Source organism: Homo sapiens, chromosome 9 (assembly GCF_000001405.40).
Source record: "Homo sapiens chromosome 9, GRCh38.p14 Primary Assembly".
Lineage (NCBI taxonomy): Eukaryota > Metazoa > Chordata > Mammalia > Primates > Hominidae > Homo > Homo sapiens.
Window position 1 is genome coordinate 67,509,085 of NC_000009.12, and position 26,286 is coordinate 67,535,370.

The 26,286-nt window shown below is 42.5% G+C and overlaps 1 long non-coding RNA gene across 1 annotated transcript in view; it reads right to left on the reverse strand.

The window, feature by feature from the left end:
- The window catches only part of LOC105379452 (uncharacterized), a 70,033-nt gene that overhangs the window by 18,782 nt on the left and 24,965 nt on the right, over positions 1-26,286 (reverse strand). The window contains exons 2-3 of the long non-coding RNA XR_950692.3: positions 6,188-6,301; positions 3,548-3,627 (exon numbers count right to left, since the gene is read on the reverse strand). This is a non-coding gene — a long non-coding RNA (uncharacterized LOC105379452). The remainder of the gene's footprint in view (positions 1-3,547; positions 3,628-6,187; positions 6,302-26,286) is intronic.

Here is a 26,286-nt window from a genome sequence, read left to right on the forward strand (position 1 = left end):
ATATCCCATCTCTGGAGCTGAGCATAGTGACAGGTACACAGAAAGCTCTCATCTGGTATTTTGAATACATTATAACATTTTCCCAGTCTTTTCAACATATTGTCTCAGCACTGGTGGGGGAAAAATGCTGCAAAGGCCATGCTTTTCCAGCCTAAATCTTCCCCAGGACTGGCACAGTGAGTGGCACATAGTAGGGGTATTAGTCCCTGTGGCTGCTTAACAAAGTATCACAGCTGGGCTGCTTAAAATAACAGAAATTTATACTTTCATAGTTCTAGAGCCCAGAATTCCAAAATCAATGTGTTGGCAAGACCACACTTTTCCTGGAGTCTACGGGGGTGGACTGGTTCTTTGCCCCTCCCATCTTCTGTTGGCGTCCCTAAATTGTGGCTGCATTACTGCGGTCTCTGCCTCCATGGGCACTTAAGTTCCTCCTCTCCTTTCTGTGCTTTCTCCCTTTGCCTCTCTTTTATAAGGACACTTGTGATCATAATTCAAGGCCACCTGAATAAAGAAGGTTCATCCCCTCATGCCAAGATCCCTAACTTAATCACGTCTACAAAGACTCTTTTGCCAAACAAGGGAACACTTCCCAGTCCCAGGGATTAGAATCTGAGATCTTTGGATGACCATCTCTCAATCTACTACGGTAGACGTGGAGTAAGTACACGGAGTTTTACCAGTACAAGCACAGTGATACATGATCTGTTGGTTGATTCCATATATCTTGTTTTTGATGCTGTTTGCCAAAAAATATCAAAAGATCACAGCTCTTCTGCAAGGCAGTCATTTAAGCAGAGAAATAAATCCACTGTAACGGTGTTATTTCTCACTGTTGTTTTCTTAGCTGAGTGGCTGGTTTCTTAAGCATAGCCACAGCATCCGATGAACCCTAGAATTTCTGTTGCATTTGCAATCATCTCTCCAGTCACTTGGGTCCTTCTGCACTCGCTTCCTGCTCTGACTTATGTGGCACCATTCCACCATGTGGCAGGACTCCCCATCTTTTTTGTGGCACTGACACGATAGGACACTACACATTTCTAACCTTTATTTTCAACAGATTGTTCCCTCACTCAGCATAAAATTTCATCCAGCATTCTCATCACACGGTGAGGGTTCACTGATTTCAATGGTGTATGAAAATGCAGCTCTGGGCTGGGTGCGATCCGAGCACTTTGGGAGGCCGAGGCGGGTAGATCACGAGGTCAGGAGATCGAGACCATCCTGGCTAACACGGTGAAACTCCGTGTCTACTAAAAATACAAAAAATTAGCCGGGCGTGGTGGCGGGCGCCTGCAGTCCCAGCTACTCAGGAGGCTGAGGCAGGAGAATGGCGTGAACTCAGGAGGCAGAGCTTGCAGTGAGCCGAGATCGTGCCACTGCACTCCAGCCTGGGAGACATACCAAGACTTCGTCTCAAAACAACAACAACAACAACAACAACAACAATGACAAAAGACTCTCTGTTGTATGTGGCGTCAGAGACAGAAGCAGATGGCTAAACTGGCCTGTGCTGGGATCCCAGCACTAAAAGCCAGATGGTGTGGATTTCAGTCAGATCTTTCATAACCAACAAATTTGAGAAACAGATGAGGCAGGGCCAAGAACTACTAATTTTTTCATTTTATAAATAAGCACCATTAAGCTTTTCTTCTATAAAGCCTCTTGATCTAACCACTAACTAAGCTATTTGTCTGAAATCCTCAAGTCAATGTAGTAAATAAGCATTTACTAAATTTAAATTTAATAAAATAAGCATTTTTTTTTCCTCTTTTGGCCAATTTAGTTCTTTAGAAGTTGGGTTAACAGAAGCCAACTTCACCACCGTCAAAACATATGTTTGCTTTTACATAAGTAGAGGCATGCTGTTACTTCTTTTTAAAAATAGTTTAGGCCAGGCGCAGTGGCTCACGCCTGTAATCCTAGCACTTTGGGAGGCTGAGGCGGGCAGGTCACGAGGTCAAGAGATTGAGACCATCCTGGCCAACATGGTGAAACCCTGTCTCTACTAAAATTACAAAAATTAGCTGGGTGTGGTGGCGCAGGTGTGTAGTCCCAGCTACTCGGGAGGCTGTGGCAGAAGAATCTCTTGAACCCAAGGAGGTGGAGGTTGCAGTGAGCCGAGATTGCGCCACTGCACTCCAGCTTGGCAACAGAGCAAGACTCTGGCTCAAAAAAAAAAAAGTTTAGTGTAGAAAACAGTACTTTCAGATTGGGCTACCAGTGTACCATGCATAAATGAAAAGTGTCCTGTGTCATTAAACAGATGCATTTAAAAAAAGAATTTTTTTACAGGTCCACAAACAAGTTTGAAATTAGAAGGAAATTGTGAGCATTCAAATAATAAAGTGGCTTAATACAATCCAAATAAGCTGAAATGTTCAATTACAGAGTATATAGTAAAAATATAGATCCATGCTCTCTCAGTGCAAGCTGTCATCCCATGTCACAGCATGCACTATACGCCCTCTTCTTTTCTCTTACTAATATCTTTAAAGCTGCACTTGCACCCTTACCCTCACACGATCCTTCCTTACTTGCATGCTTTTTTTTTTTTTTGAGACGGAGTCTCCCTCTGTCGCCCAGGCTGGAGTGCAGTGGCGCGATCTCCTCTCACTGCAAGCTCCGCCCCCCAGGTTCATGCCATTCTCCTGCCTCAGCCTCCCGAGTAGCTGGGACTACAGGCGCCTGTGACCATGCCTGGCTATTTTTTTTTTGTATTTTTAGTTGAGACGGGGTTTCACCATGTTAGCCAGGATGGTCGCGATCTCCTGACCTCGCGATCCGCCCACCTCAGCCTCCCAAAGTGCTGGGATTACAGGCGTGAGCCACCGCACCCGGCCTGCATGCATTTTTAAACTGCATTCAACTCTTTAAATTCTTTTTAAATTTTATTTTTTAATTGACAAATAATACTAGAGGCAATGGTAACCATGAATTCTGAAAGAGATGACTGTTTTATTAAGAGCTTTTATTATTTTATTTTTGATCAACATAAAATAATTATACATCTCTATGGGTTACATAGGGATGTTTTGATACATACAATACAACCTTACTGAATTGTTTATCACATCTAATGGATTTTTGGCAGAGTGTTTAAGTTCTTCTATATATAAGATTATGTTGCCAGCAAATAGGGACAATTTGACTTCCACCTTTCCAATTTGAATAGGCTTTATTTCTTTTTCTTGCCTAATCACCTGCATAAGTTGTTATTGGATACCCACTAGATACTAGGCTGTTTGTTCTATGCTAGATGCTATAAGAATAGAAATATGAAAAAAAAATACCTACCACAAGGAATTTTAGTCCCATGGGCCAGCCCTAAGGCAGAGAGCTAGCTATGAGAGATATTGTGAATGGTACTAAGTGGCCAAGGAACACAGAGAACAGAGATGTGAATTCACATTCACAAGGGCTGGAGGAGGAAAGAGGCAACTGGTAGGTACGTGGCATTTCTAGGCCATTTGGTGTTGGTTAGGCTTTGAGTAGACAGATAAGAAAAAAAACGGGTTTTCAGTTGGGAGAACGGTATACCCACAGTATGAAGGCAGAAAGACTCGAAGGTTGTCTACCAAACAGCTTTCAGACCAGTGTGATCCAGGAGACTGGGAGAACTCTCTGAAAAAAAAAAAAAAAAAGAAAGAAAGAAACAGCATAAGTCGGATAACAAGGACCAGATTAAGGTTGGAAGTTTATTCATTAGACCCTAGAGACCCATCAAAATGTTTTGAGCAGCGTTATATTAGATGGGTATCAAATACTTCTGGAATCCATTGGTACTGGATTCATTATATTTTAACCACTCCACCAGGCCTACCATTAGTTACAACATGAGAAGCTAAACGTTATATTCTAACCAACACTTTATCTCCAGTTTTTGCAGAGAAAGCAGTCTGAGCTGCTGCTTTGACTCCACTCAGTAGTTTGTGATTAGTCTGAAATGCTCTACTGCACAGAGCAGGGTCAAGCACATTTCATACACTTGTTTAACAAGTAGCACTCAGGAAGTATATTTTCTGATCCACTTCATAGTATCACAATGCAAGCCGAAAACAATGACTGAAGATGGCAAGATAAAACTATTTGTAATGGAAGCAAATATAAGTTATCCACTTTTATTATTCAGTCCTCTGTTTGGATGGAACACATGAATATTAAAATGGCTGTATTTCATTCCTTTTCAAAAGTAGTAAGAGAAGGATAATCATATGCAATAAAGCATTTTCGGCCTGGGTCTTTATGACAGCTCTAAATGCCTGCCACATTTTAAATACCACAGGTGCAAAACAAATGTATAAATTCCTTGTTACATAATTTTCCATTTATATTGTAGAGAAACAAAATACAGTGTAATGGGGAATTTAATTCTCTGAATAGAAATTATATAATCTCAGCAAGAAAATTCAATAACAGCTTCTACACAGATGGCAAAAATCTGCTGAAAGATCCCAAGAGTAATGGAAGACAACTGGAATTTGCATATAAGATTGGATATCACCTTTCCAAAGCCGTGTCAATAATTTAGTTCCAATGTTTTCTGCGTGATTCACTAATTTTATAATTATAATTTTTGGCAGAATATGGGCTACTCAAAATGGTCCAAATGCAAAAAGTAGCTTTAAGCAGAACATGAAGTAATCTATCATCTTTTTATAAGTAAATAAATAATAATCACATTTGCTATTATTCATATGCTTTGCAAGTTTAGTATTTCTTTGTGTCCTGTAACATGTTCCCTTCAAAGTAATGGAAGATGGAAAATAACAACAATGAAAAGCTGGAACGTGCTCAAAATTTTGACACATCAGCAACACCACCAGTTAAATCCACATACTGCACTAAGATATACAGTTTAGTGAACAGTTGTCAGGCAAATCTATTGTGTGAGTGAACCAGCCAATGTGTTCAGCACTCTTATAACAACTAGTTTAGAACATTTTTTGATTGAGTAACCTGAAGACTCTAGGAGACTGAGAAGTGTGCAGAGACCCAGCCAGTAAAGATCTGGGACAGAAATTAAGAACGTTAGACTCCAGGTTGAGTGTTCGCTCCACGACACAGCAGAAGGGAATTGGAAAGACCCTTGTTTTTATAGTATCTTCATTGTCATAGGCTTCCTAAGAAGAAGAGTTCTAGGGGTAAAAGTCACCAAACGCAGAGGGAAAGTAAGTTTTCTTTCAGTGCTTTTTAATTAGCAAACTCAATAATGTTGGCAAATACATATATTCATCCCCTGAGCTGAGTCAACACAATCTAAATGAAAGAGAATCTGGGGGAGCATAAAGGAGGGAGGCTGTGAATTAACCAGCCTGGGGAAGCCTCAGACATCACTGATCAAGGTGGCCTAAGCATCTCCTGCATCCCAGCACATGTTTGGCTGTGGAGACACACTGTTTCAGAAGGCATACACACAACCACCAACAAAAACAGGTCTAGGTGGGTATTTTGCAGGGGAGACTCACAGGGCTTTCCTGCAGTACCATCTCCTCTCTTTATAAAAATTTAGAATCTTGTTCTGATTAGTCCAAACCCACAACCATGCCCTTCTCCCATTTTATCTGTTTCCCCCCCTATTTGGGAATAAATCTTATGGTTTAAATTACTTTGACAGGTAAATGCCAGTCCAGCATCAGCAAACCTGGTGGGTTGCCATAAGCTACTGGCAAAGTGCAACCACCAGGGGCGCCCGAAACCTGTGGAGGCGGAGATTGTGAGTTTGTCAAAAACAAGGACACCCTTAAAGCAGGCGCATTGCTGGGTGTGAAGCAGGGGAGGGGGCTTTAAAAAGGCCGTACCTTGGTCGGGCTCGGTGTTCACACCTGTAATCCTAGCACTTTGGGAGGCCGAGGCGGGCGGATCACAAGGTCAGGAGATAGAGACCATCCTGGCTAACACGGTGAAACCCCGTCTCTACCAAAAATACAAAAAATCAGCGGGGTGTGGTGGCGGGCGCCTGTAGTCCCAGCTACTCAGGAGACTGAGGCAGGAGAATGGCGTGAACCCAGGAGGTGGAGCTTGCAGTGAGCCAAGAATCGCGCCACTGCAGTACAGCCTGGGCGATAGAGCAAGACTCCGTCTCAAAAAAAAAAAAAAAAAAAAATCCTGTCCTCTATATATTGTCTCTTTTGGGATTCCACGAAGATGACATGCTAGTGTGGGACTGGGTCTCACCTCTCACCTGAAACTGGGAGCTGGAGGTCAATAGTCGTAACCTGGAAGTGCTGGCTGGCAAGGTTTTGGAGCAGGCTCATATAAGGGTGGTTGGAAGGTGCAGTTCTTGAGGGTACGGCTGCTACAAAAAAAAATACAATAAAATGCAATGCAATATTTGGGACATACTTATACTAATTAACAGTATTTGTCATTTATCTAAAATCCAAATTTAACTGAGTGTCTTAAATATTCATTTTCTAAATCTTGCAACCCTACTTGTGGTAGAGTGGGGAGGAGTCACAAAAAAAGGAGGTAAAAAGTCTCCGGGTCTGCTGTGTCGGAGAAACAGAGGTTAATACAGCAAGAGTCTGGGCTGGAAGTGGAGAAGTGGCTGAGATAAGAAGGCCCCTTACCTGACTGCCCTGGATTTAGGGGAATGGATGCTTCACAGTCTGCCCTGGGCATAAGAGTCAAGCAACATTCCTATGATAACCTGAAGAGTTCCATTTTTAACATACTGAATTTTGGATGGTGCAATTAATATCTGTTACACAGTTACCACATTGCAGTGTATCGATCATTTGCACTAATATCTAATTAAATTGTAAGTTCTGGCATTTTATCTTTCCATACCCATATCCTTGGAAAATGCTAGGTACATATTTGTGCTTGCTGATTTTTGAAAAAAAATTCAAAAAATTTTTTAACACATTTACTAATTAACCATAAACTCAGTATCAACCAGTGCTAAAACAGGGAAGAGGGCATGCAGCTACCTGGATATGGCACACAGCTACCTGAACAGACAATATTACAGGAAAGGCAATATACATGGAAAGTCTCTTCTCTCTGCACAAAAACGTATCTCAGAAAATAGTTTTTTCCCTGAGTTCCTGGCTCTGACATTAACAAAGGCAGACTGAGGGTGTCCCAGGTGACATACATGATGGTGGGGGCTACTGACGCCTTTTCATGTGTAGAAAGATTAAAAGAAGGAAAGACAGGCCGGGCGTGGTGGCTCACGCCTGTAATCCCAGCGCTTTGGGAGGCCGAGGTGGGTGGATCACGAAGTCAGGAGATGGAGACCATCCTGGCTAACATGGTGAAACCCCATCTCTACTAAAAATATGAAAAAATTAGCCGAGCGTGGTGGCGGGCACCTGTATTCCCAGCTACTCGGGAGGCTAAGGCAGGAGAATGGCATGAACCCGGGAGGCAGAGCTTGCAGTGAGCCAAGATCGTGCCACTGCACTCCAGCCTGGGCGACAGAGGGAGACTCCGTCTCAAAAAAAAAAAAAAAAAAAGGAAGGAAAGAGAGAAGACAGGAATTAGGAGGTCGTTAGAGACTGTGACATTCACCTGCCAGATCCAGATCCAGGTGAATCTGACTCTTTTTCCAGAAGCCCAGTTTTAAGCATTCAAAGTGCCCAATAATGCAAGACAGCCTCGCAACGGTAACGGGGACCAGGGCTCCTGGCCACTGGAAAAGCTACAGCTGATTCTAGGGGAACAGCCAACAGAGATGTAATACATACCTGCATTTGGGAGGAAGCGAGGACCAGGCATCATTAAAGGCTTGTCTACATTTAAGTGTCTGTGGTTCCAGATGAACCTGTCCCAATGCTTCCCTCACCATTCTCTCTTCCTCAAATCAAGATGGACATAAAACTGAATCACCTCATTACTTACCAAACATTACAGTGAAAGTCTCACTCACCCTCATAATTACTTAAAAAAACCTGCACTTACATGATTCTGAATGGGCAGATAAAAACATTGTATGTTCTGGCTTTATCAGAGGACTGAGGTTAAATGTGACAAGAACAAGCTCAGCTCTGCCCGGGGATGAAGGGCCTGCCTGTCACCCACACCCCGGGGATGTGGACTCCCAAAGGTATTCAGACACCTCTATCGCTCCCTGCTGTTCAGGGACCAGTGAATCTTGCTTGTGTCCTGCCTTAATTCCACTTACGACTTTTCTGACGATTGGACTTTATCATCTTTACATTTGCATCACTGCATCTGTGTATATGTCTGTAATATTTTTATGTTTCTCAAAACACTTTATGTTGTTTTTATTTATTCTAAAAATCGTAAGTGGAACTATAACAGAGTAATGATGCAAATTTCACTCACAATTGAAGATTTAAAAATCCAAGCCTCGGTTTTCTTTTCTTTTTCTTTTTTTTTTTTTTTTGACATGGAGTCTTGCTCTTGTCGCCCAGGCTGGAGTGCAATGGCGCGATCTCGGCTCACCACAACCTCTGCCTCCTGGTTTCAAGCGATTCTTCCGCCTCAGCCTCCCAAGTAGCTGAGATTACAAGCGCCTGCCACTACGCCCGGTTAATTTTTGTATTTTAATAGAGACGGGGTTTCACCATGTTGGTCAGGCTGGTCTCAAACTCCTGACCTCAGGTGATCCGCCCACCTCAGCCTCCCAAAGTGCTGGGATTACAGGTGTGAGCCACCGTGCCCGGCTTGGGTTTTCTTTCTTCTTTCCCACAAAGGTCAGTAGGAAACTGTTTGCAACAGGAAATGCCCTGGTCTCCAGGTGCTGCTCCAAGAAGTGGCTGACCCATTGCCATGTGTCATTCAAGTGACAGTGTTGAGGGACTAAATATGTCATTCCACGGTTAAAGTTGGCTACAACAAATTTGGCAAGAATTAAAATGTAAACATTTCGGGGAACATTGTACAGTTAAAGCATCAGAAATAAATGGCAAAACAGTTTGCTGCTCCTATAGTCAACCAAATGAAAGTTTAAAACAATAAAGAAACATTAAAGTTTCAGGCCAGGTCACTACTATTAAAGGTTTGTCCATTTCACTTAGAACTCAGTTTCTCTAGCTCAGTATTATTGATATTTTGTACCTGATAATTTTTTTGTAGCAGGGGACTGACTGTCCTGAGTGTAGTAGGACTTTGCAGGCCCTCACCTCTGTCGACAAGATGCCATTTGACTTTGATGAAAATAGGCTACCATGGCCGCAGTTGCCCTTGGATTCCAAGGCAGCGGAACATGAGCAAAAGCTTGGAGCCCTGTCACTTGAGATGGTCCTCAGTGATAAAGAAACAAATTATTTCTGGCCAGGCGCGGTGGCTCACGCCTGTAATCTCAGCACTTTGGGAGGCCGAGGCGGGTGGATCACGAGGTCAAGAGATGGAGACCATCCTGGCCAACAGGGTGAAACCCCGTCTCTACTAAAAACACAAAAATTAGCTGGGTGTGGTGGCGTGTGGCTGTAGTCCCAGCTACGCAGGAGGCTGAGGCAGGAGAATGGCGTGAACCCGGGAGGTGGAGGTTGCAGTGAGCTGAGATTGCACCACTGCACTCCAGCCTGGGCGACAGAGACTCTGTCTCAAAATAAATAAATAAATAATAATGGTAAATTCTATCATGTATATTTTACAACTTTTACAAAGGCATAAAACTTCATAAGAAAATACCTTCTTTGGAGGCAACCTCTGCAAAAGACAATGTGGCTTTGAGGGAACAGGGCATGGTACTGCTGAGACCCAGCAGCGGTGCCAGTGGCCAGGCTCCTGCAAGCCCATCTGTACCCCGATCCCAGCTCTGCCAGCCCGGGGCTCTGCTCTGGGCTCCCCACCAGGGCTGCAAATTGATAAAGCAGCTCTACACATATGAAAATATCTAAGAAACATAAATGATTCTCTAACTTGTATATTATGAATAATTATCCCAAAAGAGCATTTCCTCTTATGTGTGACAGGTGTCAGACCATCAATATAGGAGTGTATTAGGGTTCTCTAAAGAAAGGGACCCAATAGAGGAGATATAGATGTATATCGGGTCCCAGAGATAAATACACAAATATTTGTATGTGTACATATGTATATATACAGGAATCAGTTCACGGGATTCTGGAGGCTGCGAAGTTCCATAATCTGCCAACTGAAAGCTGGAAAATCAGGAAAGCCCACAGTGCAATTAAATCTGAGTCCAAAGGCCTGAGAATTAGAGCACTGCTGTCAGAGGGCAGGAGAAGAGAGATGTCCCAGGCCAAATACCAACAAGGGATTCCCCTTTCTCCGCCTTTTTGTTCTACTTGGGCCCTCAGTGGTTCAGATGATATCTGCCCACATTCGTGAGGGTGATCTTCTTTACCGAGTCCACCAATTCAAATGCTCATCTCTTCCAAATCACACTCACAGACACACCCAGAAAGAGTGTTTGGCCAGCTGTGTGGGCATTCCGTAGCCCAGTCAGGTTAACAGATAAAAGTCACCATTATGAGGGGAAAGAGCAAGTGGGGACGTATGGACTATGCACCCTCACCTTCCCAAAGTGGGGACTATCAAAAGTAGATTGAGTTAATCATGCATAATGCAAAACGTAAATCAAGGCTCTGCTTGTTTCATGATAGTATGAAAGATAGTATAAAAGTTACAGTTTTGGCCGGGCACGGTGGCTCACGCCTGTAATCCCAGCACTTTGGGAGGCCGAGGCGGGTGGATCATGAGGTCAGGAGATCGAGACCATCCTGGCTAACAAGGTGAAACCCCGTCTCTACTAAAAATACAAAAAATTAGCCGGGCGCGGTGGCGGGCGCCTGTAGTCCCAGCTACTCGGGAGGCTGAGGCAGGAGAATGGCGTGAACCCGGGAAGCGGAGCTTGCAGTGAACCGAGATTGCGCCACTGCAGTCCGCAGTCCGGCCTGGGCGACAGAGCGAGACTCCGTCTCAAAAAAAAAAAAAAAAAAGTTACAGTTTTTAAAGATAAAACAAACACAAAGTAAACAACAAACAAACAAAGCTCAGAGGTTGGAAAGTTTTGTATGAACCAGAATTAGTAGAACTTGTCCTAAACGTGAACTCCGGACCTCCTCATAAGTAACTTAGTCACGCAACAACTGTGCTGAAGATGAACAAGCATAAATGTTGAGAATTGTTTGGTTTTCAAATGCAGAATCAAATTAGCTGTAAAGTCATTTCATTATGTAAGCTACGCTGCGTCTCTCCCTATGGTAGTGTATATATGATATTATGGTAAAAGGAAATGCAATAGAGCAGCCTTAAAACCCTTGATTGAATCCAACAAGTCTGGGACAATTACCTCATTCCTCAAATATTTTATTTAATGTCCTGGTGGTATTCAGACTCTCATCCCCTAATGTAATTCTGTTTTATAATCAGTATTATCAATGATAAATTGGTATCTTTAATCATAATGAGAATTGTAGGCAAATCTTCTCCCTGCTTCAATAAGAAATCTAATTTTTCTTTTAGAAAAGAAAGGATGTTTTCCTCTAGTGATACATATAACTACACTTCTTATTAAATAATTTCAGCTCTCTTGTGTTTTCTAAAGCTTTCATTTTGCAGTTCAATAGTACTTAAGGTAGGATTGAGTCCCACATCTGTTTTAGCATGCTGGTGCCGCCAAAGTACCACAAACTGGAGGCCCCAGACAACAAAAATGTATTAACTCACAAGTTCTAGAGCCAGAAGTCCAAAATCAAGGCTTTGGCAGTGCTGGCTTCTTCCTGGAGGTTCGGAGGGTGGCTCTGTTCCCTGCCTCTCTCCTGGTGCTTCCCAGCAATCCTTGGCCTACAGCTGCACTAGTGCAGTCTCTGAGCTGTGGTCCATCATGCTTTTCCCTTTGTATCTCTGTGTCTCTTCCTATGAAGACAGGAGTGATTGCAGGAGGGCCCACACTGATCCAGGATGAGCTCATCTTAACTTGATTTTTCTGGCAAAAACCCTATTTCTCAATAAGGTCCCAAGCTGAGCTTCCAGCTGAACAGGAGCTTTGGAGGGACACTATTCAACCCACATGACCTCCCTCTTCTGAAACCAATTTCTAAATAACCTTTCTTGTTATATTTTCCATTGATTTCTGGTTTCTTGCTTCAGTCCATCAGTGTGGTGGTGGATGAACAGCAGTGGCCGAACAGTTTCCATGATCCTGTTAGCACTTGTTCTTGTTACACTCCTTGTCCCTTTCTCTTTCATGGCCTTTGTCACTGTTCAACAGTCAGAGGACTGATGCTAGGTGGACCACCAATACAGCCTGTCCACCAAACCTCAGTGGTCCATCCAGATGAGCAGGGGCGAACTAGAACCCTTACCTGGGACTTAATCTTAGAATTACACAGAAAAGCCTTTTTTCTCTCATCAAAAAGCCTCAACACTTCAGCTGCTATGGCATCAGCCTTATGAAGAAGCTGACCTGGGAGAATAAAGCCAGCACAAGAGAGAATCATAAATGAAAGATAAGAGAGTCCCAACAGCACCCATGTTCCTAACTTCACACATTAAAGCCAGTTTCAAATGACCTAAGATCAATCCACTTTTTTTCTTAGTATTTGCTAATTGCAACCAAAGAATTCTGACTAAAATAGACATCGGAGGTGTTGTGTTATGTTTTCCCAGAGTTGCCACAACATATTATCATAAACTAGGTGGCATGTAAACAGAAATTTATTGGCTCACAATTCCAGAAGATCAAAGCCTGAAGTCAGGTGACAGCAGGGCCATGCTCCCCCTGAAGGCTCCAGCGGGGAATCCTTCCTGCGTCTTCCTGGCTTCAGGTGGTTGCCAGCAATTCTCGGCTCACAGCTGCATCACTCCAATCTCTCCCTTCATCACTGCATGGCCTTCCACCCTCTCCGTGTCTCTCTGTCTTTCTGTGTCTCCAAATCTCCCTCTCCTTGTAAGGACACCAATCATTTCATTTGGGGTCCACCCTAATCCGATATGACTTCATCTTAACTTCATTACATCTACAAAGACCCTATTTCCAAATAAAGACACAATTCCAGGTTTTGTGTCTACTACATTTACAAGTGACGAACACTAAAATTTGATCTTGGCTGATTCAAGGTGTGACAGAGAACCTTGAATAGGCTCAAGGAGGCAAAACTACTTTGCTGCTTAGTGCACTGTGCATTAAGTTCTTCCCTTTTGTCTCTTGGGAGTCAATCCCCATGCATTCTGAAATGATTTAGGGGACCTTGCAGAAATCAGTGTAGTCAATTGTGTCAACTACTTCCTAAGAAATTCAGTAAGATGCAGTGGAAGCTCTAGAGAGAAGCCACAGGCTCAGCCAACCTGCGTAGACACAGAAATGGAACAGGTGAGCAAACATGCATGGGGAGTAGCATTTAGCCCATGTCCAAATAGCTAACACCATTTAAGGACAATCGTGCAGTGACCAGGAATGAGGACACTCAGGAAGCAGCAGAGTGGACTCCCTTGGGCAAAGGGCAAGGCAGCTGCTGCTGTCAAGGGGCAGAAAAATCCCAGGCCGATCCAGACTTAAGATGTGGTTTGTATACTCTCCTTGCTGTGGGAGATTGGATTATGGTCTATCAAAGATTCACTCTATTCTCTTTAACCTCCATGACAGAAGCATACTTCTCTCCCCATTGATGTTGGCCAATGAGCATTAACAGACTTCACCCAAGCAGGGGCTTGAAATGCTCATGAAATGCCTGTCCCTTGTGCTTCTGCCATTGCCCCAAGGAGAGCACATGCTAAGCAGCACGGCACGGGAACAGCTACATGAAGCTGACTTGAAACCCACCTGCAGCCTGGAGCCAAGCCCAGCCCTGACTTAATCAGCTTAACTCCAAGCAACCTGCTGATGTGCGAGCAAGAAATCAATGGTTGTTGCCATAAGCCATTGAGTTTGGGGGTGGTTTGTTATGCAGCATATTTGTGAGAATAGCTAACTAATAGAATAGCTAATAGAGCTCTGTTCCCGAGATAAAATGGATAGACAACTGATTAGAGCTTTAGAAATTGTATCGTTTTCCAATCCTGGCAAACAGGAATTCAAACCTTATTGTAATTATATTTGCTGAGCCAGAAACATTTCTCTGCCAAAAAAATAAGTTTAAAAATGAATATTCTTAGCGATCCCTGGCCCAAATAAAGCATGATACACATGCTGAGCTAAGTTGCATGTTCTTTATACATTGCTAAATAAGAATTTTCATTATCCTGTTTTTCCTCTACTGTTTCATTTCAGATGGTTGGGTAGCTAAATTTGATATGTGGCAGGATCCCATCAAGCTATTCATCCAGAACTGACCCAGAAAACAAACCTTGGCCACAGTTCTGAGCTCAGAGTTAGACCCAAAGCTGCCTTGCTTTGACATTCATCCTTCCTCATCCTCAGCCTGCCTGTTCCCTGGAGGGTGCTCCTGCGTGCCCTCCTTACGTGGTGCTTGTGTGCCCACCTGCACCCCAGAAGGAGCTCCCAGCTGGCCTGTTCCAGCCCCATGTCACCTCCTACCAGCTTCTGCCTGGGGCAACCCAGAGAACCTCCTCTCAAGCTGGTGAGCTGCAACCACACCTCCAATGAGTCAGAGGCCCAGTCTTGGGGAGTGGGGCCCCTTTTCAAGTTTGTTTCTTCCTTGGGGACTCTCCCAGAGCCCAAATATTTTCTTCAGGTACCCCTTTATTGTTAACCCCATATAACATTTAATATTATTTATATTGATTTTCCTTTCCAAATTACTATGTGGTTTCTGTTTCCTCATTGGATGTTGATTGATTCAATTGCAGAAACTGATACAAGTTTCTCCTAAATAAACATTAATTTTATTAGTGACAGTTACTATTCTCTGGAAACCTAAATGACTTAGTTTTCTTTATTAAAATGTTTTGTTTAACAGCCTAAGCTAGGTAATTTCAAGCTTATTAATTTTCACTACATTTTATTTCAAATACACACTGGTGTATGCAATCTCTCCATCTCAGACTCTATTTAGCTCTCCCAAGCTCCACCGGCCTCACTGTCTCCCTCTGTTTCTAAAGTGGCTAACCCACAGCACAATGTACACAGAGTTTGCGAACACCCTAACCATACTGATCTGAGGAGTAAAAGAAAGGAACTAACAAAATTTTTTTGATTTCTATATTGTTGTTTAATTTCTATAACAACTCTACATAATAAAGTTATATTGTGAAAAAAGCTTCAGATTAATTTGCTCAGAATCATGTGATCATAAGCAAACCTCTATCCTTCAAAACATTTTTTCCACTGTCATGCAACTTTTTCATTAATATGATTTTTAATTGAAAAATCATCATTGTACACATGTATTGGGTACAAAGTGAAGTTCTGATATATGTACATGATGTGGAATGTTAAATCAAGTCAATTTACGTATTCATAATGTCACTTATTTTCTGTGGTGAGACATTTGAAGCTTACTCTTTGAGCATTTTGAAGTGTACTTTTAAAATGGTGGGATCATCATCTGGACTATACAAGAAATCTGTCAGTATGGTTATAGTTTCATAGAATTCCTTATATATGTGCACTAGGCAAAGAGATGGGAACAGAGTATTATTAAACTGGTGACTAGCACACAGTAGATTCACAATAAATACTTATTGAGTAAATAAAAGAAAACAGAAGAGTACAAAGTGAATCTTAGAAGTTACAAAAAAGGTGGCAAATTTGGTCTGGAATCCAAGCAGCAGAGGAACAGGTGGATAATACGCATTGTTAATTTCAGTATCTGAAACTCAATGAATAACGAAAGCAATAAAAACAAAAATGGCTGCCACTTATTGAGGATTTACATATGCCAGATCTCTGTCATATTATTTAACCTTCAATGAAAACTTATTGGAATATAGCCTGTCATTATTCCCAGCCTGCAGATGAGAAAATTGCGGGACATGACCTACCTGGAGACTCAGATTAAGTGGCAAAGTCATGACTGAATCAAAATTCAAACTTTTGGCCGGGTATGGTGGCTCATGCCTGTAATCCGAGCACTTTGGAAGGCCGAAGTGGGTGGATCACCTGAAGTCAGGAGTTCGAGACCATCCTGGCCAACATAGTGAAACCTCGTCTCCACTAAAAATACAAAATTAGCCAGGCGTGGTGACACATGCCTGTTATCCCAGCTACTCGGGAGGCTGAGGCAGGAGAATTGCTTGAACCTAGGAGGTGGAGGTTGCAGTGAGCCAAGATCATGCTCCATCCAGCCTGGGCAACAAGAGCAAAACTCCATCAAAAAAAAAAATAAATCCAAACTCTTAGCTACTGCCCTTATACTAATTGTCAAGAAAGAAGAAAACACAACCCAAATTCTTGAAAGGAACAGGGTGTGGGCAGCCAGGGAGTGCTCCCAGGTGTGTGGGCCCAGCGGCACCAGACTCTGCACACAAGAGTGCCTCCTTTCCACCCAGGCCTGGTTTCATGGAATGCCTGCTTCACCTGCCAGCATTTGCCTCAGACACATAAACTTCCCATGGAGTATATGAGTAAGCTCTGACAGCTCCATTGTTGGTGAGCTACTAGATAGCAGGAATTATAACCCAATTAAATTCAATACTCTATGGAAAAGGAAAAGGCAATGCAGTCCATCTTACTGATAGACAATTTTAGAATAGGTGTCTGTGATAGAACACACACATTATTTAATCCCCAAATAAGGGTAAAGTTTTAAAAGACAGTAAACCATAGCAGGCTCAGATATTATCTCTAAAGATTTTATTTGATATCCAGGATCCAAGAATGAAAAACATCCAACAATTATGAAACCAGCTTTTGCAATGGCTATCATCACCCAGGAAAAGGCATTGTTTAAAAATCCAAAGAAAATGGAGCAATGTTAAAACCAATCAAGCATTCAAGAACAGATAAGGGATTAAATAAATAATGGTGAATCCATGTTATGAAATATTGGAGCTGTGCAAATGATATTTCAAGTAATCTTTATGACATGGGGAATATTTTCACTATATAATGTCATCTGAAAAAACATGCATAACGCCAATCTGTTTACACAATTTCATCTCAATTATTGAAAAGAACACATATCTATAAGAAAAAAAAAAAAAGGAAGAGGCAGACTCCCGTGGAGGGCAGTTGTGCCAAGCAGAGGCATGGCCTGATGGGCTCATTGGCACCACAGATGTTGCTCTGTGGTGGGAAGAGGAGGCTGGGGGGCCAAATTCTAAGACGTGTGGCTCTCTGCATATATAGCTACGCGCGCACACACACACACACACACACACACACACACACACAAAGGATTTTCAACAGAGATGCAATCTACAAACTTCCTAGTGACAGGTATCATGTAGTGAGTAAACCCCCAAAAGAATCTTATGCCTATGAGGCAGAAAATTACAGATTTATCAAACTTTCCCAATTATCCATATCTGTCCCTGTCCCTTTCCTCCCCTCGGCAGAGGATGTCTCATGCTTGTCTTCTCAAAAAATGATAGTTTTGGAAAGGCCCAATGGCTTCATCCGTGAGTCGCTAAGGTGCCAGAAACCTTGCAGGATTTCCCGTGGTCTTCTGCTTTTTCAGTCTCTTTGAGTTCATATTTAGGGGCAGAAAAGCAGGAGAGCCTGAACTTGAGGCCCTGGAGCTGCTGTCAGTAAACCTGGAGAGAAGGGCTGTGTGTCTACACTCCGAGGTGCTAGATCATTATCCCCTTCAGTCTGGGTGTCTGAGAAGCTTGGTCTATCAGTCTAGCAGAACAGACTGAAGATTCCATAGGAACTCAAGGGGAACTGACTCCCGCCCTCCCTCCAGCCTCCAAGCGTGAGAGGGCATCACTAAGTCCTCCTGGGGCTCTGGCTAGAGTTCATCTGGGAGGTCTTAGAAGGCTTAATTTTTCCAAATTCTCCTTCTGCTTTTACAGAATAATCCCAAAGTTGATTTTTTATTGAAGAAAAAAGATCTATATTATAAGGGTTCTTATGTAATTATTACAAAGGTAGCCTACATAGTGCAGAAATTGGAATTTGATTAGTATAAATGCATTTTTATCTGAATTTTTGCAAAGTAAGTTCAATAAGTCATTTGATTTGTTGATATTCAGTGTTTATAATTTTGTAGAGACGTGTTTTAACTTTTACTCTGTATTTCTGTGCTCAGAGAGTTGTTTGATAAGCCTGTGCAACTTGACTTCGGAGTTTTATTTCAAGCATATGTAGTTTGTATCAGGAAATCATATTTTTTTAGAATTATGTATTCATCATAGAAAAATCCTTAATTAGCAGTAGTGAAGGAAAGCTCTTAGACTGAAGACTGATTAGCCCAGCCTCCAGAGGAGATGTATGTTAGTGGGACAACGTCCTCTAATAAAGGAACATTCAAGTCAGAAATCACAGCGAAACACCTTAAATTGTTAACCACGAAGGAAACAGCGCCTCCAAATTGATAAGGCATTTAGATCTGCCTAGGCGTTAAAGAAAGTTTCATAACTGCCCACACATGTATTGCAAATATTGAATCATTAGCAATTACTTTAAATATGTTCTTTGTATTTAAGGTGACAAGAATGTTTTCTCCCTGTGGCATGCTCACCCTGGGTTCTTGGAGAACTTTAGACCAATGATGTGGCCAGCGAGTCCCAGCCCAAATCATGAAATTCAAAGACGTGAGAATATGCTGGCACTTACTGCGTGCCGGGAGGGTCTCTCAAAAGGAGAAGGAACTCAGTGGTCACCTGAGGCAGGATCTTTCACACAGCAGCTCTTGTATGCAAAGAGAACATGGCGCAACTCTTTATTAACTACACTGATTTTTTTATTTTTATTTATTTTTAATTTTTTCAGAGCTGCCCCTGCTGATTATAAGGGAAAATTATCTATTAAGATTGAAAACATTAAACTCATAATTTACACTGGTTTCTCAGTTAACTCTCAGTATCCTGTAGGAAAAAGGCCAGTCTGCCAATGTTCTAGGTTACCCAGCCTCGCTGTGACTAGTCAAGATGGCATCAGAAAGGCATCATAGCTCGCCAATAGCAAATGTGTGTGTGTGTATGTGTGTGTGTGTGTGTGTGTGTGTGCACTCTGTTCCTAGGCACTGGGGACACTATTGGGAAGAAAATGTCAAACTCTTTGTCTTTACACAGCTCATATTTTAGTAGGGAGTTGAAGAAAGAAAATAAACAAATACATGTGTCATATGGTGATAGGTGTTAAAAAGAAACATGGGACCAGGGGCTATAGTGAAAGTAGTGCAGGGAGAATCATTCTAGAAGAGGTGGTCGGGGAAGCCACACTGATGTGGTGGTGACTGGGAGCAGAGATGTGAATGCAGTAAGCTGGCCATCTGGGCTATGTGGGGAACACATTCCTACAGGGCAGAAGACATAATAGGTGCAAAGGCCCTGAGGTGTGAGGGCACCCCCACCCTGGGTGTTTCACATACAATCTTCATGAAAAGCAGTGGGGCTCATGGGACCTTCAAGCCAAGGGAGAGAGTCAGGATCCTGGGTTGCCATGTCCGGGACAAAGGACCTCCCCATGTCATTTCTTCTTGCCTTGCTGACGTTCTCAGCTAGGTCAAGGCTGGGTGTTGCTCCTGATTTATTTCACTCTGGCCCAAAAACTCAGCAGCCTTCCTGGCTGGTGCAGCCCTACCCAGGTGCACCCTGGCCCTACATCTCATATCTGGCTGCACCTCCAGTTTGGGTCTGGCCCAGCTGGGCCACTCTTCAGCCTCTTCGTCTCTGCCAGGTTTACCCCTCTTGATCCCATATACGTCCAGGAGCCAAGAGAAGCTCAGGCCCCGCACCTCAGGGCCTCTCACTTGTTGGCTGTGCTATACCACCTAAGGGCCTTGGCTGAGCCTGAGTTGGCGTGGGGGCTGCTTCAGGAGGCCAGTCTTTCCCGGAACCTGAAACATGAATGGGGCGAGGGCCACCCTCCCCACACCAGGACCACAAAGGAGTGGGCTTTCCTTGCATTTCCCCACATCACGTCCTCCACCCTCACAGCACCAGCTCTGTGCTGACAGCAAATGAAGATATTTTCTGCACACATTTGTAGAATGTGTAGGATTGGAGTCTTCCAGGCTTAGCCCACTCTCATCCAAAGGAGGCTTATTATACTGTGAAGCTTCAGCCAACAAATCAGAGGCCAAATATGACATTGTCCAGCTTCAGTTCCATTTGCAAAATATTTCTGCCTTTAGGCCGCACTGCCTGGTGAAGTGTGCCCTCTTCCCTGCCTGTGCCATCTTTTGACTAATAGTCACGTATGTACTGCTACATATTTTTATTAGAGAAGTTACAGCCCCATTCTCACTGTTATCTTAAATTTGAAATTACTACCTCAATTTAAACTAAAGATTTAATTCTTGTAAAGCAAGAATTTTAAGTATGGTCACATTGGTCAATAGTGTAATAAACAATTGTTGTGTAAGAAATAAACACTATACCTATGTATACAGTCTTAAGATTTTATATGTCTTGCATATAGTTGATTGTATCACTTAATGAACAATTTTTAAACTGAAATTTGCATATATATGATAAACGATAGAAAGATAAATGATAGAGAATAGGTTATATATACATGTGTGTACAAATATATATATATATAGAGAGAAATGTATATAATTCACTGAATGATTTCCTTCAGTTAGAAGGAATCTATGCACATCTATTTTTTTTTCCATCTTGTATTAGATGGAAGTTATATTTTTTCCTTAGGCGTTACCATAAAAGGATGAAAGGAGATCAAGGGAGGCCAGAAGGGAGAGTGTCTGTAGCTACATTCCCAATAAGTTCTTTCCAACTGCCACTTAGGCAATTGCTAGAAAAACTATCAGCAAAGAATGGGGCTTGCTTTGGCTTAAACTGTCAACGCTAGGTTGTTTGGGTCCTCACGCTGATCTGTGCCAAGGTGCAATGCTTTATCAAGGCTGCAGACACCTTTCTAGTAGAAGCGCCACTTCAGCCTGGAGGAAGCAGCAGGGAGACACCAGGGCAGGACCCCAAATGCCACAGCCATTCACAGGCCCTCAGGCAGCAGTCACCAGTCCCCATTACTGAGAAATGACTTGCAGTTGTTTGTTTCTCTTATTCTGTCTTGGAAGCCACATTGTGGTTCTTACTGGAGTCTGACTCATTTATATTCATGTTTTAAAGAAAAATTTTTTTTTTTTTGAGATGGAGTCTTGTCCTGTCCCTCAGGCTGGACTGCAGAGGTGCGATCTTGGCTCACTGCAACCTCTGCCTCCTGGGGTCAAGCAATTCTCCTGCCTCAGCCTCCCCAGTAGCTGGGATTACAGGCACCCGCTACCACACCCGGCTAATTTTTTTTTTTTTTTTTTTTTCGTAGAAACAGGGTTTCACCATGTTGGCCAGGCTGGTCTGAGGAACTCCTGACCTCAGGTGATCCGCCCGCCTCGGCCTCCCAAAGTGCTGGGATTACAGGCGTGAGACACCACGCCTGGCCAGAAAACATTTTTTAAGTATAGAAAAATGAAATTAACTGCCGTGATTCAGGGTTGGAGGAATTAAGTCAGTTGTTTTGTTTTAAAAGTCTTGTGTTACCACAAATGTGTAGGGAAAGAGTCAGAATAAGAGGCCATTTCTATCCACTCAAGGATGAAACAGGGCAGATGTTCAGTGCCTGCTGCCTCCATTCCAATTCAGCAGCTGCCTGGGGTAACAGGGCCCATATTTCTTTATCTTCTAGATGAGAATAAGCCTGCTTTGAGCACGGCAGACTTTTTTTTTTTTTTTTTTTTTTTGAGACGGAGTGTCGCTCTGTCGCCCGGGCAGGAGTGCAGTGGCGCGATCTCAGCTCACTGCAAGCTCCGCCTCCCGGGTTCATGCCATTCTCCTGCCTCAGCCTCCCGAGTAGCTGGGACTACAGGCGCCCACCACCTCGCCCCGCTAATTTCTTGTATTTTTAGTAGAGGCGGGGTTTCACCATGTTACCCAGGATGGTCTCGATCTCCTGACTTCGTGATCTGCCCGCCTCGGCCTCCCAAAGTGCTGGGATTACAGCGTGAGCCGCCGCGCCCGGCCGAGCACCGCCGACTTCTAACCATGACTGGGCATCCTGAGCACTCATTCCCCAGCCTGACAAGAGGAACCAGGTGCGCCAAGCATTGGGGGGATGGTCACTATTGCTGACCGGTCTCCCTCGGGCGCTCCACTCTGGGCAGCTGAGCACTCTGCCAGGAGATGGGGCAGAACCACCCCAGTAACCACACACTCCCACTCTGTTCCAGGCATAGCGTCCAGCCTCTCTGGGCTTCCTCTGGCAAAGCCCGTCTAACTGCATGGAGCACAGATCCTGGGGCCACTTCTCTCTGCAAAGCCCTTTCTCCTTGTCATCTGAAGAAATCTGGAGAAATTTTCATAGACCTGAAACCCTGAAACCTACACTGGCCCCTCTGGGGTGCCAAGCTTTTTTCTTCTCAGTGGCCTGAATTTTTCTTTAAATTCTTTTTCCCACTTAAGAATGGGGAGAGGGAAGAGGAGGTTAAGGACAATCAGGATGTGAACACCTTAATACCTGAGTGGACTCTCCTCACACTAGATTCACAAAGAAAAATTAAACTACTTTTTAGTGATAGGATCATTTTAACTTTTCTTCCTGTAACATTTTCAAAAATGATATGTAAAAAAGAAAAACATTTCAGGTGTTTTCTGCTGGCAGCCTAGAGAAGTAATTGTTATTACTATTATTTTTACTGTTATTTATACACCCCATTATACTTCAGGGAATCTGAGATGAAAGAAACTAGTTTATAAAAACCAATACAAATTCTCATGATTCAAATAAACTGTTGGCTGGGCGTGATGGCTCACACCTGTAATCCCAGCACTTCAGAAAGCCAAGGCGGGTGGATCACCTGAGGTCAGGAGTTCGAGACCAGCCTGGTGAACATGGCGAAACCCCACCTCTACTAAAAATACAAAAATTAGCCGGCCGTGGTGGCACATACCTATAATCCAAGCTACTTCGGAGGCTGAGGCAGGGGAATCACTTGAACCCAGGAGGCAGAGGTTGCAGTGAGCCGAGATCGCGCCATTGTACTCTAGCCTGGGCAACAAGAGTGAAACGCCATCTCAATAAATAAATAAATAAAAATTTTAAAATAAACTTATAAAATTTCTTATTCTAATAATTTAACTCAGCACAGTTACAATTAAATAGTGTAAAGATCTTTTGGATTTGGTTTTGGCTTTTTTCTCAAATCACTCTGGGTGGCTCCCTGTTGATGTTCAACCATGTCTGGTTTGGTGGAATATGTAAGTTGAATAGAATGGTATTGGTAGTGATTTTCTGTCAATTGGTAAGTTAAGAAATGATTTAATTATGCAAAAAGCAGACTGTGCTATGTTATGAAAAGACCTCCTTGAGGGCTTGGGGTCTTTTCTTTCTCAGCACTGCTGAAACAGTGGATACCTAGCAAGCTTGGGTACAGTGTCCAGCTGAGGCTTCCACAGCTTACAGAGCAAACCTCACTGCTATGCCAGAGGCTTGTCAGGAGAAGAGCTTGGATCTGGGATACACAATTAAGAACTCATTTAAAAGAAAGATCCTGGAATGTTAAACATCAAAATATCTGTGCATTTATATATACAGTACATACTTAGTATGACACTGGTTACCAACTTGGCTGAGTCTGCTGAGATGGAACACAAACACACAAAAGTCACGTACGTGGATTTGTTACTTACAGATAGGCAGCACCTGGGATTCATGGCAAGCTAGTCCTCCAAGGCTGGGGAAAACTGCTCGGGGGAGGTGTAGTCCTGTCAGTGCATGCCACACTTGTACCTCAGCTAGGGACCCGCAAAAGCAGCCCACCCTGGGTTTTATACTCCAAGGTGAAGTTACCCCCTGGACAAAACATTGAAAGACATTCTGTTTCCAAGGAACTGGAACAGGGCCTGGGCTGTTCTAGCCATTCCTTTCTTCTCTCAGGATGTTGCATTCCCAGTACATTCTACAGTTATTCTTGAGAACTACAAGAGACAGGAGAGAGAACTGGGTTGGTCCAAGGCCACCCAGAGAACTGTCCTGCACTTAGATCATTCTAACCTTTGCAATTAAGATAAATGCTGCTAATTAGTCAACCTTCTGTTATGATAATTATTCAAACATAATCTTAAGTGCATTTATTATGTAACTAGAGAAATCAGAAACAAATAAACTGAGCATTGAACCCAAGAAGCTGGATGAAAATGCAAAAGAAATAGGGAAAAGATATTAAAAACAAGTTTATAAAATAAAAAAGAAACATTTTTAAGTGACATTTTCTGATTTTTTTCATGTTCATATCATTTGAATATTTTTCTACATGAATATTTGTAGTTTTAGTACTGACTTGTAGGAGCTGTAAATGGCAATTTATTGTTATATAGGATACAAATGTTTTTCATGTATTTATTCACTTTCCTATAAAGTTTATTTACACTATTCTCACTGATAATATTTAAAATTAGAACATAGAATTTAATATTCTTCAGATATACTCATCATAGCTAAATTTGATTATTCTCTTCTGTGTTATATAACTGTCTTCTGAGTTATCTGTTACTGGACATTTGGATGAATAGCTTCAAGGGCATGTGTTGGATATATTAACTAAATACTTACTGAGGTACATTGTTAACAAAAACAAAAGTTCAGTGGAGCTCATATTGATCAGCCAGTTTTCCACAGCAGTATCTTCATTCTGTGGATGACATAAAATCTAATCCTCCAAAAATACTGTTGTGTTTTTCCCTACATGTTTGTTCCTGACTTTAGTAAAGTGTTTAAATCCTTCTAAAAGATTCTGCCTTATATCAAATAATAGAAACAAATACCCAGATTCTTCTGTTTTTAAAGAGTTTAAAGTCAACTGCTTTTTATTTATTTTTTTTCAGAAATGAAAAGTAGGATGTTTTAAAAATACTTCTTAGGGCCGGGCACGGTGGCTCACGCCTGTAATCCCAGCAATCTGGGAGGACAAGGTGGGCAGATCACCAGGTCAGAAGATAAGAGACCATCCTGGCTAACACAGTGAAACCCCATCTCTACTAAACATACAAAAAAAAAAAAAAAAAAAAAAAAAATTAGCCGGGCTTGGTGGCGGGCACCTGTAGTCCCAGCTACTCGGGAGGCTGAGGCAGCAGAATGGTGTGAACCCAGGAGGTGGAGCTTGCAGTGAGCCGAGATGGCACTGCACTCCAGCCTGGGCTACAGATGGAGGCTCTGTCTCAAACAAAACAAAACAAAACAAAAAAACCTTTATAGGATGAGACCACTACACTTTTTTCAAGTGAGATCACTAGGTCATTCTTTTTTTTTTTTTTTTTTTGAGACAGAGTTTGCTCTTGTTGCCCAGGCTGGAGTGCAATGGTGGGATCTCAGCTCACCACAACCTCCGCCTCCCAGGTTCAAGCAATTCTCCTGCCTCAGCCTCCCGAGTAGCTGGGATTACAGGCATGCACCACCACGCCCAGCTAATTTTGTATTTTTAGTAGAGACGGGGTTTCTCCACGTTGAGGCTGGTCTGGAGCTCCTGACCTCAGGTGATCCACCCGCCTCGGCCTCCCAAAGTGCTGGGATTACAGTTGTGAGCCACCGCGCCCGGCCTAGGTCATTCTTATCATTGTTTTTACTTAGCACTTTCCCACTGTTGGGATGTAGCCGCTCTTAGATGATATGTGCCAATAGAGCAAATCATCAAAAATGGAAACTCTTCTGTTTCGCCAATATTTCAGTTTCACAATTAACTACTTCCTGATTTTAAGATGATGGCTGGTACAAAATAAACCCATTCCATTTTATTATACCATTTCCTTTTTGAGAGAAGTCAAGCATCAATGAAGATCTGTAAAACTTAGTTGAGTTTTCATTTCTCATACCAGAAGAATTTCCAGGGCTTTATAAACTTAAGAGAGAGCATTCTACTAATCAGTCCACTAAAATACGCTTTGAAAGTAGTTCCAAAATACCTTTTATAAGATTATTTACTATAAGTTTCTTCTGCATAAGTTTGTATATCACCTAACTTTTTAAAAATTATTAAGAATACATCATCATATCTTTCTTTAAATTCATCTTGGACTGATCCACACTATATAATACAAAATGAGAAACAACTAAAGTTGACACAGATAAAAATCTGTATCCCTCAGTACTCCTTTTATTAAGCAAAAAATGGAAAACAAACTAAGATATAAGGTATTTTATGAAATTAGGGATGCTATTACGAGGAAAATGTAGTAGTACTGGACCTGTCCAAGGTGAAAAGTTCAAAGAGAGAAATTTTCGTCCACAAGCTAAAAACCCAAAATGGCTACATAGCCAGTGTAAGTGTCAATCTCATTTCTGGAGTGCTGTAAGAAAATAACTATCAGTCTAGAATTCTATAT